Raw genomic sequence first — 16,069 nt, 5'->3', positions numbered from 1 at the left:
CAACATAGTGGCATCAATAGGTACCTAAGTCACAAGAGCTCCAACACAGCTGGGTCAAAATTGTTTCAAAACGCATGTGCCCATCTGAATTATCTCAAGTCAGACCCAATAACTTGGCCTATGTCATTCCAACCCAGTGTGGATTCAGGGCATCAGAAACCAGTTTCAAACCATATGCCCTTTGGAAGTGTCCTTGACAATTACTTTACAGCTCTGCCTGTGCATACGTACTGGAAGATTCAATCTCCTTAGCAGCCTAGAATTTCAGCTAGAATTTCAATCTCCTTAGCAGCCTAGAATTTGCTTATGGCTGTCCTCAAGCACCATGGACCATTTACAAAGTGTATAGGGGTGATCTCTCCTTGTAGATTTGAAGTGTTTTCAGAACAGGGACTAGATCTACTATTTATTTTCCATCCCCCCTAGAGCTTAGTATAATGCTTTGCATATCAGAGATATTTGTTAATCTTCAGACAATCTCCTCAAGAAAGATTAGAGAGCCTTTTACCAAAATGCCATAAAAAAAGAAGTATGGGTAAATGAGCACCCTGAGATTATGGCATAAGCTAGATACATCCCTCCTCACACATAAGGACCAGATCCAATGGCAAATCATTGAGAACTGAGGTGAAAGAAATAGATTATTCAACCAATGCCTAAGTTTCCAATTTCTGTCTTTGTGCCAATGATCCCCAATTTATATTTGTAGCCCAGACTGCTCTTCACCGCTAACATCTACTTACTAGGTGTTGCCAACCTGGATGTCTCAGAGGCCCCTTACACTCCAAAAATTTGCCAAAGCTCAGCTCATTTGGCCCCTAAAATATCAGCTCTGTAAAGGCTGGGCTTTGGTTTCATTCACTGTTGGATCCCGAAGGCCTAGAGTAGCGCCTGGCAGAGAGCAGGCGCTCAATAAAGAGTGTTTGAATGAATTTAATAATGGATGAATGAATGCAGGGACCTCCCCAGGAGACACAGTCTTCCATTAAAGCCATATGTGTTGCCAAAGAGTTCTCTAGGACTTGACAGTTAAGACCAAACCCTATACCTCTTCCCATTACCTCATCCCTCCAGTCTCCTCTCTCTTTTATCAAATCACCCTCTCTGCTGCCTCATCCCTGGGAGCCCCTAAATATGCTCCAAATCTACTACAGGTTGAATATTTCTTATCCAAAATGCTTGGGACAAGAAGTGTTTCGGATTTCAGATTTTTTCAGATTTTGGAATATTTACATATACATAATATCTCAAGGATGGGACTCAAGTCTAAACATGAAATTCATTTATGTTTCATATATACATTATACACATAGTCTGAAGGTAATTTTACACAATATTTTTAATAATTTTGTGCATGAAACAAAGTTTTAACCATGTTTTTACTGCGACCTGTCACATGGGGTCAGGTATGGAATTTTCCACTTGTAGCGTCATGTTGGTGCTCAAAAAGTTTCAAATTTTGGATTTTCGAATTAGGGATGCTCAAACTATGTCATAAAACAAAATGCTCCTTTATTATACAAGGTCCTCTATAAATCTGTTCACAGTCTCTCTTTGCCAGCCCCACTCACACTATTATAATCTTGAACGCCCTAGAGTTCCCAACTCACACCTCACTCTTCGACCCCTTTGTACCTTTCTCAGGCAAGGAATGACTTGCTGAAATGTCCTCCTCCTCCCCTGAAGAAGCCCTCTCTTGGCTATCTCCTCTTTACCCTTTAATTCCCAGGGCAGGTGTTGTCTCCTCTATGAAGTCTTTCCCTGGGAATTCCCCCTCCCAGTCCGCCAGGCAATGTGTTCCTCTTCTATGCTCTCACAATACACTATGCCAAGACTCTTTTCAAACTTTTTTTTATATCTTGGCACACATAGAAAATGGTTGAGGGTAGACAAGACTGTGCTTGGCCAAAAGCAACTGGCCTGGGTCTCTGGCTTTCATAAACCTTGTGCAGCAACACCCGGATACTTTTGTAACTCATTCATTGCATACCAGCCTGGCATGTCAAGCTGGTTGGTAACTCTGTTCTTGGTATGTCTTAGTCTTAATCGCTGCATTCACTGCACTGTATTATACTTATTCGTGTTTGTGTTTTTCCCTCACTGAACCTATGAACTCCTTAAGGGCAAGAAACTAATATTCTTATTTTTCATGTTTTAAATGACTGTACAATAAAATGGACTTTGGAGGATGTACAGTCCCATAAACTTTATCACATGTATATGTTTGTGTAACCATGACTACAATCAAGATACAGAATATTTCCACCACCCAGGGTGCTGACACACCCTCCTCCAACCCCTAATCCTTGGCACCCACTGATCTGTTCTCTGTCACTGTAGTTTTGTCTCTCTGAAAATGTCTTATAAATGGAATTGTACAGTAAATAACCTTTTGAAACTGGCTTCACTCAGCCAATGCCTTTGACATTCATCCAATTTGTTGTATGTATCAATAATTTGCTTCTTTGTATCACTGAGTAGTATTCCATTGTGAGGATTTAACATAGTTTGTTTATTCATTCATCCATTAAAGGGTATTTGGGTTGTTTCCAGTCTGGGGCAATTTTGATAGACTTGCTGTAAACATTCATGAGAAGGTTTTGTGGGAATGTAAGTTTTTATTCTTCTAGGGTAAATACCCGGGGTGGGATTATATGAGCATTATGGCAGATGTATTTTTAGCTTTATGAGAAACTGCCAAACTGTCTCCAAAGTGACTGTACTATTTTGCCAATAGATTATACTGGCAATGTATGAGAGTTCCAGTTGTTCCACATCCTTGCCAGCATTTGGAATTGTCAGCATTTGGCATTGCCAGCATTTTTATTTTAGCCATTTTCATAGGTGTGGCACGGCATCTCATTGTAACTTTGTCTTCATCTTTGAACTCCAGCATTTTGCAATGTGGTAGGTTCTCAGTAAATATTTGTTGAACTGAAATACACTCATCTTGTTGTTTTGCCTCATTTAATAAACCCACTAATAATAAATTCAAGGCCAGGCACAGTGGCTCACGCCTGTAATCCCAACACTTTGGGAGGTCAAGGTGGGTGGATCACTTGAAGTCAGGAGTTCAAGACCAGCCTGGCCAACATGGTGAAACCCCATCTCTACTAAAAGTACAAAGATTAGCCAGGTGTGGTGGTGCGTGCCTGTAATTCCAGCTACTTGGGAGGCTGAAGCACGAGAATCACTTGAAAATGGGAGGCAGAGGTTGCAGTGAACTGAGATTGTGCCACTGTATTCCAGCCTGGGTGACAGAGTGAGACTCTGTCTCAAAAAATAAATAAATAAAAATAAGTGAATTCAATTTTCACTATACTTTATACTAAGCTTTGTGTTAGGAAAACAAAAAAAATTGCACAGGACAGAAGTATTAAACTATCTCTCTCATCTTCCTGTACTCACTCCTTTTCCCAAGTCCTAAATGAATCATTCTTTCTATTAGGATATATAGCAATATAGCCTATAATTTTCACTCAACAAACTGAACTTGAAGGCATGCAATCAAGAGCTTTTGAAAGTCTCTATTCTCACTGCTAATAGTACTAACAATAAGTGATGATCTAGTTATCATCATCAATAACTAGATAATTGGATGAACCAGGCACTGTGTTAGGAGAAATTCCTATAGTAACTCACTTATCTCCCCAACCAGATGAAATAGGTATTATCCTCATTTTAGAGATATGGGAACTGAGGCTTAATGAAGCTGACAAACTTGCCCAAAATCATATAGCCAATAAATGAAGGCTCTAGGGTGCATACCAGATCAAGCTGGTTTCAGAAAACACGGTCCTAACCATTCCATGTACCTGCTTTACTTGGCAAAGGAACTAGCTGCTCTTTAATCAACAGCAAAACAACAAAAACAATCTCAAGTCACTTTAATTTTAAAGAGTTATAAAACTTTAGAAAAGTAAATCTCTCTCTTTACTTGAGTCTTATGATAATAAGTCCTTCAGATCAGCCATGAGGCATACAGATGGAGGAGCATGGAGACCCCCAGTCTGGGAAACCTCAATTGCTCCATTGGAAGACAGACTAAAAATTATAGACCTTATTCTAGCGAAGCTAACAGCATGAGTAGGACTCAGCTGAGCAAACTGAACTAGCGTCACTTGTGGCTCTATGATAATTATCCCTGCCCATTGAATCTTGAACTATATTTACATAGTTCTATAGTTGAGAGTGTTCTCCACTGCAGACCTAAGCTGAAGTGATAATAATGGTTTCTTTTTATGTTGATTCTAAAAATAAAATAGAATTATATATATAAAATAATATAGTAACCTGGATAATCTAATGACTATCAAACTATTAGGTGTATCCAGGGATAACAAAAAGCTTCAGTCTTTAGAGACATATATAGCACTAATTTTAAGAGAACAAATCACAGCCAGACCTTTTACTAGATAGATGCTATAATAGTCAAGAGACTATTGAACTGGAATTCAGTGGTTTGGCCTAGTATTTTGATTTAAAATATTTCTTACCTCTTTTATTACTTACTTCCTCCCAAACCCATAAACAAGCTTCAGTGAGCTTGGAGCTGAATCTATTTCTTTGAATGTTATTGATTAGGAAAGATAGGAGGCACAAATCCCAGGATCCTATGTCTTAAGTGATGACTTTCCAGAGCCCAAACATTCAATCATTTCACCCTTCAAGTAAGAAATCAGGAGAAAAATGTAGGCGCTAAAAAGAAAAGTCATCCAGTGAAATTATGTTGCAAGCCAACAGCTTTTGGGGATCACAGTAGCTAGTTCCAAATGTCAGACTTTTTTGTGTGTTTGAGTCTCATAGAATAACATCAATTTCTAAATCTACCTTACAGTGAACTGCATAACAAAAAAAGGTTTCATTTGCACTCATCTCAAAAGTGTTGTAGACAAATAGTGCCACCAAGTAATTATTGACATGAAAAATTATGGAAACTCAAAAACATTTGGCTCAAAGTCTCAAGTAGCAAAAGTTGAGGGCAATGACTTTTATCAATCTGGAGAGCTTCTCTTAACCTGTGGCAGTTCCTCTATATTTGGGTCTGCACATAATGTTTGTATTGCCCTGCTTAAACACTCAATAATCATAGAATCTACTGAAAGAATATCATCTAAACAAATTTATAAGGGTCTTATAATATACAGTGCCAGTGATTAATGAGAAAGCATTAAATATCAGAATAACTGGAAATTTTCCAATCAGCATTCCAAAGTGTGTGCATTACTGATGAATTTCTCGTATTTGAAAGCTAGACAACCCCAAGAAAAGAATTACATATTTATATAAATCATAAGCCATTCAGCAATAGTCTGAACTTTCTGTAAAATTATGATGGTTCTCAAGGGAGAAAAACGTATTTATCAAGACCATTGAACATAAAGAAACAATTAAATACAAACCAATTTGCATAGCCAACATAGCATTTTCTGTTGAAAAATCAAAACTTTTCATCCTGACAGATATATTTGTCACTGAGAAGACAGCATCTTTAAAAGAAAATAAACACAGCACACAATTCAATTCCCTTGTAAAAAGTGCAGCCAAAAGTTTACTGTGAATTATAGCCTATTATAATACCATAGAAATGAACAGGCAGCTAAAATCAGTTTTTCTTTTCCCAAAAGTGCCTGTGGACATTTATTCCTAAGGAAATAAATGACCAAAGTAGTATACGGCTTTGTCCTTCTGTTTTACAGGATATTCATGCCTTGCCTCCAATATTCTTTTTAAATTTTTGAATTGCCTGAACAAAACTCAGAAGGACTTCATTTTTCTCCAAAGGCATCGTTCTTGTATAATTCTGAGACACAGCTTTCAATTCTTTCCAAATAAATTCATCCTACTGAAAAGCACAAGCTCATCTCAGAAAGCAACAATAAGACCCCTGATATTTTTTCCTTGAAGACCATTACTCACTGGCAAATATGTTCTCCTTCATCCTCAGCTGCCCTGCTGAAGCACCAGGGAATGGAGAAGGTCTGCCAGTTTTCTCCTTCAAGGTCCTCCTCCATGGTAGGAAGCCAAAACAGCCCACCTTTTCCTAAGGATGGAAAGAGAGAACCTCTTCTTTATTCTTTTATAAGAAGAATGATTGTATCATAACAACTGCTATCCAGGAAGAGAGAGAGAGGAAGGAGAGGAGGAATCGATGCTGAGAGGCCAATCATATTTCATCACTCAGCTACTTGGAAACCAGATATTCTTAAACAATCACGTGCTCCAAGAGATTTGAGGATGCAAAAGAGGAGTGGCTCTGCCTTTTGTAAATTATTAACAGGAACTTTTTTCCTGACCACGAGTAAAGATGTACAGACTACTTATTTAAGAAAACAGCAATTAGGTCTGACATGGAACATAAAAATGGACAAGTCAACAGCAAGATCTCTGACTGCAGTTCTGTGCTGACCCCTCTGAATCAGGACAACCCGGTGCAGTTAGAATCAAAGTGATATCAAACTGGGAATGAAGGGGCACCTTCTGAAGGTCTGAATGGGCCATAACTGCAGCTTCAGCATCTGCCTCTGATGAAAAATGTGTATTTGCTCCTCCCCATCTGAGAACTCACGATGGGATATTTGGCGCTCTGAGCTGGAGTGAAGCCACCTGCACACAGTTCTCACATTGCTCCTAGATTTCAAATTGCTGCTTAACTTCTCCCATGGCTTTCTTGTGTTTCATCCAAATTTGAGATTTAACGCATCTACCTTAAAGCTATTTGAAAGTTGCCAATTTCAGTGCTAGATCCTATCCAGTAATTTAAACTTGGCGAGAAAAAGCTGATCCAGACAGCTTTTAGAAAGCATTAGCTTCCCATGCCATAGACAGAGGGCACTAGGGAATACTCTTTTGGGTGATATGCAATGTCTCCTTTTCTCTAGACCAGGGTCTCTCAACCTTGACGTTATTGACTTTTTGGACTGGCTACTCCTTTGCTGTGGGGGGCTGGCCTGTGCATTGTAGGACGTTTAGTGGCATCTCTGGCCTTTGCCCAGTAGATATCAGTAGCATCTCCCCAGCTGTGACAACTAAAAGTGTCTTCAGACATTGCCAAATATTCCTGGGAAGCAGAATCAACCCCGGTTGAAACCACTGCTATAGACCCATTTCTTTAGTGAAGTTGTTCAAGACAGGAGGAGTATCATTTATATTTGAGATGGGCTCATGCCAAAGACAAATGGTAGGTAAACAGTCAAGGGTTTTGGTGAAACATACGACTCATATGCCCAAGTGCAGGTGGCCAATTTGATTTGTCACAATGGAGACACATTTAAAGTGGGGAAATAACTCTCCAATGACATTCTGCCAAACCTCTCATTGCTATAGTCTCCAAGTTCCCAAATCCTGCTATTTGGAATATGCTCACTTCTCCTCAGTTACATATTTCTTATTTTACCTTGGTATCTATCATCCATTGCAAGAAGGGTTTGTTCTGGAAAACTATGCCTAGTTGATCTTTGACAGCAAAACCAATCAAGGCAGAGATAATGAGGACATAAATCTTGAGCCCAATTGTGTAACTGTTATCAACCACAGGTGGGATGTTTCCTAAAGAGCCTTAGATTCAAGCAAAAAAAAAAAAATGAGGAAAAAATTATTTTCAATTAAATACACGAACAACAGTCTACTTAAATTCAATGCTGAGAACATTAGATGGATTGTTCAAAAGCAAAAGTGCAATTCAGCAAGTTTACAGGTGATGGTATTTCATTAAAAAGAATGGCACGCCAGAGGGAGAAATAGTACAGAGTGGGAGTTGTCTTGGGAGTGAATGTGATAAAAAAGAAGACAAGATCCTCAAGTGGGGAGGCCGAGGCGGGCGGATCACGAGGTCAGGCGAACGAGACCATCCTGGCTAACACAGTGAAACCCCGTCTCTACTAAAAATACAAAAATTAGCCGGGCATGGTGGTGGGTGCCTGTAGTCCCAGCTACTCCGGAGGCTGAGGCAGGAGAATGGCGCGAACCCGGGAGGCGGAGCTTGCAGTGAGCCGAGATCGCGCCACTGCACTCCAGCCTGGGCGACAGAGCGAGACTCCATCTCAAAAAAAAAAAAAAAAAAAAAAAATCCTCAAGTGGTAAAGATCCTCAAGTGGTAAGCGGTGTCAGCAAGGCTTTCTGTCCCCTCTGGGGGGCTTATTTTGGAGATTAGTGTAGGGGGGTCAGTGACTGAAGGACAGAGGTTTATGCTTTCCTATGGGAGAGGGTATTGAGTGTGCCGCAAAGAGAGGTTCTGTGTCCCATTTCCTTTGGGATAAGAAGGAAGAAAAGAGTTTTCAACAAAGCAGAATGGTGTTCTGAGATGGGTGAACTGTGTCCCCTTCTAGGGGCTGGATTCTAGGAGGAGGAAGCTTGTTGGCCTTGGGAAATTCACAGGATATTCAGTGCGGCCTGGATGGAGGTGGAGTCGGGGAGCTCCACTTGAGAGCTGGAATTTGGGAGCAGGAGCTTCAAGAAACAAAGTCTCTTGTTTCTAGCCTGTTTTCCAGATCTATTCCTTGGCTGTAGGTTGTGGATTTTTCTTTCCTTTTTTAAATTTGGAAATGCTCGTTTCTTACTAATGTTGAGAGCATTTTTATATCACAGCTGGTTATACCTATCAAATGGCCTGCACAGCAGCAAATATGAAAGAATTAAATGACATGTCCCTGCCCTCAAAGAGCTTATTTTCTAGGATTATATAGAAAGATAATAAAGAAAATATCTATGAGCAGATTTGAAAGATTTCATGCTTTTTACATAAAATTATATTATTCTTCCTAGTTTTAAAATCTAAATGTACATTTTGAATGCCTTTAAAATCATTTATGAATATGAGCTTTTTTGACTGGCCAAGAGAAAAATAATTTTATGTCCTTTTAAGAAAGGTTGAGAATTATTTAAAGTTGTTCAGATGAACTCCTTAATCCACAGCCTGACATTCACGTTCAAGGCCTCTGCCTCCTCTTTCCAGTCTCACTTTTTGGCCCTTCCTCCCTTCTGCCATTTGTCATGCTTTTAGTGCCAATCCTGTTAAGGAATATGATGAGCTCCCTATGAATTTTCACCTCCAAACATTTGTTATTGTTGTTTTTTTTCAATATTCCCTGCCACTAAAACACCATTTCTCTTCTTCTTGACCAAAACCAATCTTTCCTCAAACACATGATTCACAGGCCATTTTCTAGGATGTCTTCCACTTTCTTCCAGGGAATTAATCTCCCCACCTCAGTACTTCTAAAGGACTTTGTACCTCTGTAAAAGTAGTGATCACATTCTGCCCTACATTGCAAGTACCTGTATTCACTGTAGAATGCAAGCTCCATGTGGGAGACTAGTTCTAGGACCTCCCTCTGATAATCACCAAAATTCGAGGATGCCCAAGTCCCTTATGTAAAATAGTGTAGTATTTGCATACAACCTATGCACATTCCCCTGTATATGTTAAATCATCGCTAGATTACTTATAATGCCTAATACAATATAAATGCTGTGTAAATAGTTTTTATAGCCAGGCATGGTGGCTTACGCCTGAAATCCCAGCACCTTGGGAGGCTGAGGCGGAAGGATCACTTGAGCCCAGGAGTTCGAGACCAGCCTGGCCAACAAAGTGAGACCCTGTCTCTACAAAAATTTAAAAAACTAGCCAGTCATGGTGGCATTCATCCTGATCCCAGCTACAGGAGGGGCTGTGGCAGGAGGATCGCCTGAGCCTTGGAGGTGAAAGCTGCAGTAAACTGTGTTTGCACCACTGCACTCCAGCCTGAGTAACAGAGCGAGACCCTGTCTCAAAAAATAAAATAGTTGTTATACTGTATTGTTCAGGGAATAATGACACACAAAAAAAGGTATTTATATGTTCACATGTTCAGTACAGACACAACCATCCTGTTTTGTTTTTGTTTTTCTTTTTGAGACAGAGTTTCACCTTGTTCCCCAGGCTGGAGTGCAGTGGTGCGATCTCGGCTCACTGCAACCTCTGCCTACTGGGATGAAGTGATTCTGGAGACTCAGCCTCCCAAGTAGTTGGGATTACAGGGTCCATGTCTGGAATCTCTATTTTGTTCCATTACCTATATGCCTGACTTTTCACAGATAAGTTTTGGTAACTGTAGCCTAAAAATCAAGTACTATAGATCCTGCAATTTTGTTCTTCTTTTTCAAAATTGTTTTCGCTATTCTAGGTCCTTTCTATTTCCATATAAATTTTACAATTAGCTTGTTAATTTCTTCTTTTTTTTAAAAAAAAAAAAGCCTGCTGGATTGTAATTGAGATTGCGTCGAGTCTATAGATCAGTTAGGGACAACTGACATTTAAACAATATTGAGTCTTCTGACTCATGAATATAGTATTAACTCTGTTTAGTTCTTCTTTAGTTTCCCTCAGCAATATTTTATAGTTTTCAGTGTACAGATGTAGCTTTGAGGTTCTATGGCAAAGGGCAGCAAAGAGTAACATTCTTTGCTAATTTATCCCTAAGTATTTCATATCTTGATGTTATTGTAAATGTTAATTATAAAATTTCAATTTCTGATTGTTCATCACTATATAACTTGTACAGATACAAGTGACCTTGTATCTGTAATTTTGCTAAACTCACTTATTGTTCTATTAAACTTTTTGTAGAATTTTCTACATAGATGATCGTATAATATGCAAATGAAATCTGTTTTACTTCTTCCTTTGCTAATCTGTTTTTTTTTTCTTGCTACTCCACTTGTTAGGACCTCCAATAAAATACTGAATAGAAATTATTAGAGTGGAAATCCTTGCCTTGTTTCTGATCTTAGGGGTAAAGCATTCTTAAATAGTCCAGAGTTGATAAACTGAACCTTATAAAATTTTGAAAAGTGTAGTCTTCAACAGTGGGGAGTGTAGAGAAAATATTTTTGTGTTTCTGCAGATTTGGTGCTCTCAGGCATATACCTAGAAGTAGAATTGCTGGGTCATATGGAATTTCTATGGTTAACTTTTTGAGGAACTACCAAACTGTTTTCCACAGTGGCTACACCATATTAAATTTCAACCAGCAATGCACAAGGGTTCCAATTTCTCCACATCCTCACAGACACTTGTTATTTTACATTTTCCTTCACTTTCATGCTTTTGTTGGCTCTTCAGTAATTTCAAGCTTTTCTAAAAATATTTTATGCATAGAATTGGTCTAAATAACTGACCATGCCTTGGTATAGATTTCAGCCCTTCTTATACGGCTGATACAGTGTTAACTCAAAATGTTAAACTCTAAAAAATAGATCACCCACAGAATAAATGATTTTAAGTTGGAACTACCCTTTGGAGAGCAGCCTGCTTGCATTTTGTAAAGCAAGAGTAAAATTGAGGAAGTGTTGGCTCTACTTTTGTGTTATCTACGTGCTGTCATTTATCTTTCTTTTTCCCTTTGTTTTCTCTGTAAAAGAGTAAGGAAAATATCACATGGTTTGCTGAGAATAAAACCAATCTTTCTCAACTTTGAACTTATAGTTAGAAATAAAAAAGATAGAATGAGATTTTATCCTCCCTTTCAGCCTTCCTGAAGAAAGAAAAGGAAATGTCATTAAAAATGTAAATTGATTAGTCTTCTGAAATTGGATGGGAAATGTTCCGCCCAAACTCTTTCTCTCAATCTAAATGCTTCAGTAATATTGTTCAAGGTTCAGATAAGGTAGCTATTAAGTAAATTAGCTTTGAACATACAAGTGGCATTCAAAAACCTGTCTAACCATGAAAGACTTAAGTTGAATTGTACCTGCAATGAAAAATGAGGAAAGCATTAGAAAAGCTCATTACTTAGAATTCACACAGCAATTCATATTTTCTATGCATTTATAATCAGATGCAAGTCATTGCTCAAAAAGGCTCTGTGCATTTTTCATTGGGCACCATATTCCATAAAACTCATAGCTGGCAAAATTTCATATTTCTATCAATCTTCCCTTCCTATCATTCATTCAATGTTTACTGATCACCAAAAATGAGTTAGGCATTGTGCTAGGCAGTAGGGATAGGGAAATGAATAATGTCTGTGCAAGTTTGGTCACTTCAGCATCTCCCTCCCCACAAGGTTTGAGATTGCTGGTTGCAGTTTTGTTGTGCTGCACCTTGTTTTTGTCTCCCTGAGCAAGCCCACTAAATTGATAATTCCTTATTCACAAGCCTACACCCATCTACTCTTGGGTTCTTGATCCAGCTTCATCCCTGGACACTGTGCTTTAGGTCCACTTCACTCTCTCCACATTTTGCATCTTCTAAGCCAATCCCAATCCACCGTTCCTTTCCCCAGCTGTGGAATTCAGTCTAGCTGCAATGCTCAATGCCCTCCAACAGAGTTGAGATTACAGATGACAGAAAAATTAAGGATGACTCCCATTATGTTTGAATTTCAAGTAAACAATGAATTTTGTTAGTACATCTCATCGAATATTTGGAATAGGATATACTTATACTAAGCAATTATTTACTGTTATCTGAAATTCAGATTTAAATAGAGTCCTGTATTTTTATCAAATGTGGCCACCCTGGTAGGGGCAAATAAAATGTATTCCTCAAAGACCTGCCCACTGTGAATTAATGTGCATGCTACTAGACGAATCACAATAGAACTTGTTTGGGGCTGGTCTTCAGTTGGATTCCCCCAGATGCAGACCCTGAGATAAGGATCTGAGTGCAAGTGGTATTTTGGGAGGTGACATAAGTGAGAAAGGGAAGGAGCCAACACAGAGTGCATTAACCAACAAGTTACTGCTGTAGGTAAGAACAAACTTCAGAGATGCCTCCCCCAGGGAACAAGAATGCTAGGGTATCTTTCTTCAACTCATATTTGGCATTAATGGAGGATCGTTCCTGAAGATTTTAATGCTTCTGCATTTCCAGCCAAGCATGTCTCAGCAACCAGACCACAGCCTCTGGCAAAGCCATAGGTGCTTGCAGCACAGGCCCCAGAGATGGTGAGTACCTAGGGAATACAAACAGACACTGCCACAGCTGCATCTGCTATCGTGAGATCTGTGGAGCATGAGCTTCATATAAGCAGAGTTAATTTGGGAGGCCAATGTAAGTTCAAAAACCATAGCAAGTAAGAATTGAGTAAGACCTCCAAGTTAATCTAGTCCAATTCCCTTATTTCACACACTAGTACATTATGGCTCAGAGAGTTTCTTGTCCAAAGGCAAAAAAAGTTACCTACTGCCGGTCCAAGATGCTATTTTTATTACTGTTGGGTCACAATTGAAGAGTGATGGATGATTTGCAAAGAATTTTCACGTTTCATAGACCCCTCCCTGGTCCTCCCATTCTATATCCCAACGGAGACACAGCTCTTGCAGTTTGGTTGGGAGTGGGTATCTGGGCACTATGAAGACCCAAAAGGGCCCCTCTCACCCCGGGCTGAAAACCCAGTCTCCTGCTTTTGTCTGGGAGGCAGCACAGTATAAGAATTATGAATCAGGCCTCTTGCATGCAGAGGTTGTCCTGCCCTAGCGCCATGTCACTGCCCTTTTCACTGCCCTTAGGTTCATAAGGTTCCTGGTCATCCCCCATCCACATCAACATCCCATATAAAGAAGCTCACCTTGGGGAGGATGGAGCATCTCCAGGCGTTGCCAGGCTGGGCTCACCTCTTTACCCCACCACTTTAATATTCTTCCAGCAAGGGCCCACACAAACGTGAGGGGTGGGTAAAAACTTTGGTTTGATAATTTCCCGAATTTGGGGTAATCATCAAGTGGGATCATGGTGTGAAATCTCTAAATTTCCATAGATTTGCAATCTATGAAAGTTAACATAAAACAGATCTAGCTCCTGACACAGGACTGCCACACAGTAGAGGGTCAATAAATGTTTAATGAATGGAAAGACAGAATGCCTGAATTGCAACTTACTACTTATCCTCAGATCAAAATTCAATGTATTCTACTTCTTTTTGTGCAGTTTGTCAGAAACCCTGGACTATATGATTTGATGGTAATGTTCATATTCAGTGGCCCATGATATGGGGTGCAGTCAATAGTAACAGGGAAAGTATGACACATATGGAAAGAAATATCCAATGGAAATTTTGTGACCTGAACAAAATTTTTGCAGATCAAATGATCTTTGAAAGGTAACCATGAGGGGTTTATTTACTTAAGCACTTATAATTTAAACCAAAACAAGAAAATCAATCAAGATATAATACAATTGATTCTAACTTAATCAAGACAGAGTTTTCTTCCTAAACCAGAGTTTTTCTCCTGTGATGTGTATTGACAAACAATTTTCTTATCTGGCTCAAAAATGACCTCACAGCAAGTCAAAGAAATTCAACCGTGATTTTAATGTTATATTTAACATTATTTTCATTTCTTTTAACATTACTATTATTTTCAATGGACAAATCATAATTGTACAAACTTAAGGGGTACAATATGATGTTGTGATATATGTATATAATGTGGTATGATTAAATCAAGCTAATTAACATATTCATCACATCACTTATCTATCCTTTTTCATGGTGAGACATTTGAAATTTACTCCCTTAGTTATTTTGAAATATATGCCAGATCCATGCTTAAAGCATTATAGATTGTAAGTGAACCCATTTATCTAGAGTTCTGAGTTACTTTACAATTAGCAAAGCCCCTGGGGAAAGCACTGGGAAGGTACTAAGCCACATAATGAATCTATTGCTTCAAGCACTTAAATATCAAACCACAGAAATGAACTCAATCTGGAATATGCCGTATGTCTTAGAGATATATGTGGTAAACCTTTATGTCCATTTAATGAGTACATAACTTCTTGAAATCATATGTTTTCTGAGAAGATGATGAGTACAACATTAAGTTAGTATCACCTTGAATTTCTTTATGGACATAGAGTCTTAGATTCCAGGGAAACCAAATGTGAGCTCTGAAAAGGATCTCAGACACCATTAAGTCCAACTCATTTTAGAAACAAAAAAAAATCAATGCCCATAGAAGTTAAGTGACATTCTCTAGCCTAAGGGTCAGCAAAGTTTTCCTGTAAAGGGCCAGATAGCAAATGTTTTAGGTTTTGTGGGCCATATAGTCTCTCACAGCCATTCAGCTCTGCTGTTATAGTGCATAAGGCACTACAGCAATGAGTGAGCATTTCTGTGTTCCAACAGAACTTCATTTATGAAAAGTGGTGGTGGCCTGGAATTGGCCTGTGGGTCATGGTTTACCAAACCCTGATGCAAACTGCATAGATGAATAATGTCAGAGACCGGCCAGACCCAGCTTTCATTATTTGCTATGGTTATTTATTTATTCATTCCTTTATTCATCTAAGACATAAGGCATGATAGGGGATTCTGCTACAGTTGATATGGTTGGTTCCAAGTTCAGACTGTAGGATTTTATCTACAGGGATAAAACTTAGCAGCCTCTACTAATTGTGTCTCAAGAATACATCTCCAGTTGGAAATCAAATTTCTAATCATGGAAATTGCCTACAGGACCCAACATTTTGTAGAGTTAATAGCCTACTACATCAGCATTTTTAGGTTTGTGTTCCCAAATGCATAGGTGGCCTGATCATCTTATAACCAGATGTGAGCCATAAGGATTTCCAGGACCAGCCTCCATCCTCAACCCCTGGGTCATGAGCCTTTCTTCTAGGGAGTTCTCATAGCATTTGGCTCACCTTCCATCACCCCATCCTTCCTAACACAGTATCTCTGCCAAATGATATCATGAGGAAGAACCACTTTTGGAAACAAATGAGGAGAGGAGACCCAAAGGGACTGGCCCAAGTGAAACAGAAGAACAGGAGAAGTGCTGAGTCATTCATCGAATCTTTTCAGCCTTGACAATGTACTGCAGATAGGGAAGTGAATAGTGGAGACCAGGGTCCTGTTCTAAGGGAGTCTGAAGTAGAGTGAAGGAGCATTAAATAGATAGTAGTAACTTCTGTGAAAAAAATAAAATAAATAAGAGCATAATGGAACAAAGAGTAGGGGCTGCGGAAAGAGAGAAATGGGCTACATAAAATGCAGTGAGTAGGGAAGTCCTCTCCAAGAGGTTGTCTTTTGGGATAAGTCCTACATGATGACAAGGAACCGACCTCATGGGGATCTTGGAAACG

General features: G+C 39.1%; 1 protein-coding gene across 2 annotated transcripts in view; it reads right to left on the bottom strand.

The window, feature by feature from the left end:
• The window catches only part of FRMPD4 (FERM and PDZ domain containing 4), a 902,085-nt gene that overhangs the window by 840,586 nt on the left and 45,430 nt on the right, over nt 1-16,069 (bottom strand). For both annotated transcript variants that reach the window (NM_001368398.3, NM_001368395.3), the window contains exon 3: nt 5,920-6,043. In NM_001368398.3, coding sequence (NP_001355327.1) covers nt 5,920-6,043 — 124 coding nt within the window. The remainder of the gene's footprint in view (nt 1-5,919; nt 6,044-16,069) is intronic.

Source organism: Homo sapiens, chromosome X (assembly GCF_000001405.40).
Source record: "Homo sapiens chromosome X, GRCh38.p14 Primary Assembly".
Lineage (NCBI taxonomy): Eukaryota > Metazoa > Chordata > Mammalia > Primates > Hominidae > Homo > Homo sapiens.
This window is presented reverse-complemented; position numbering and strand designations above follow the sequence as displayed.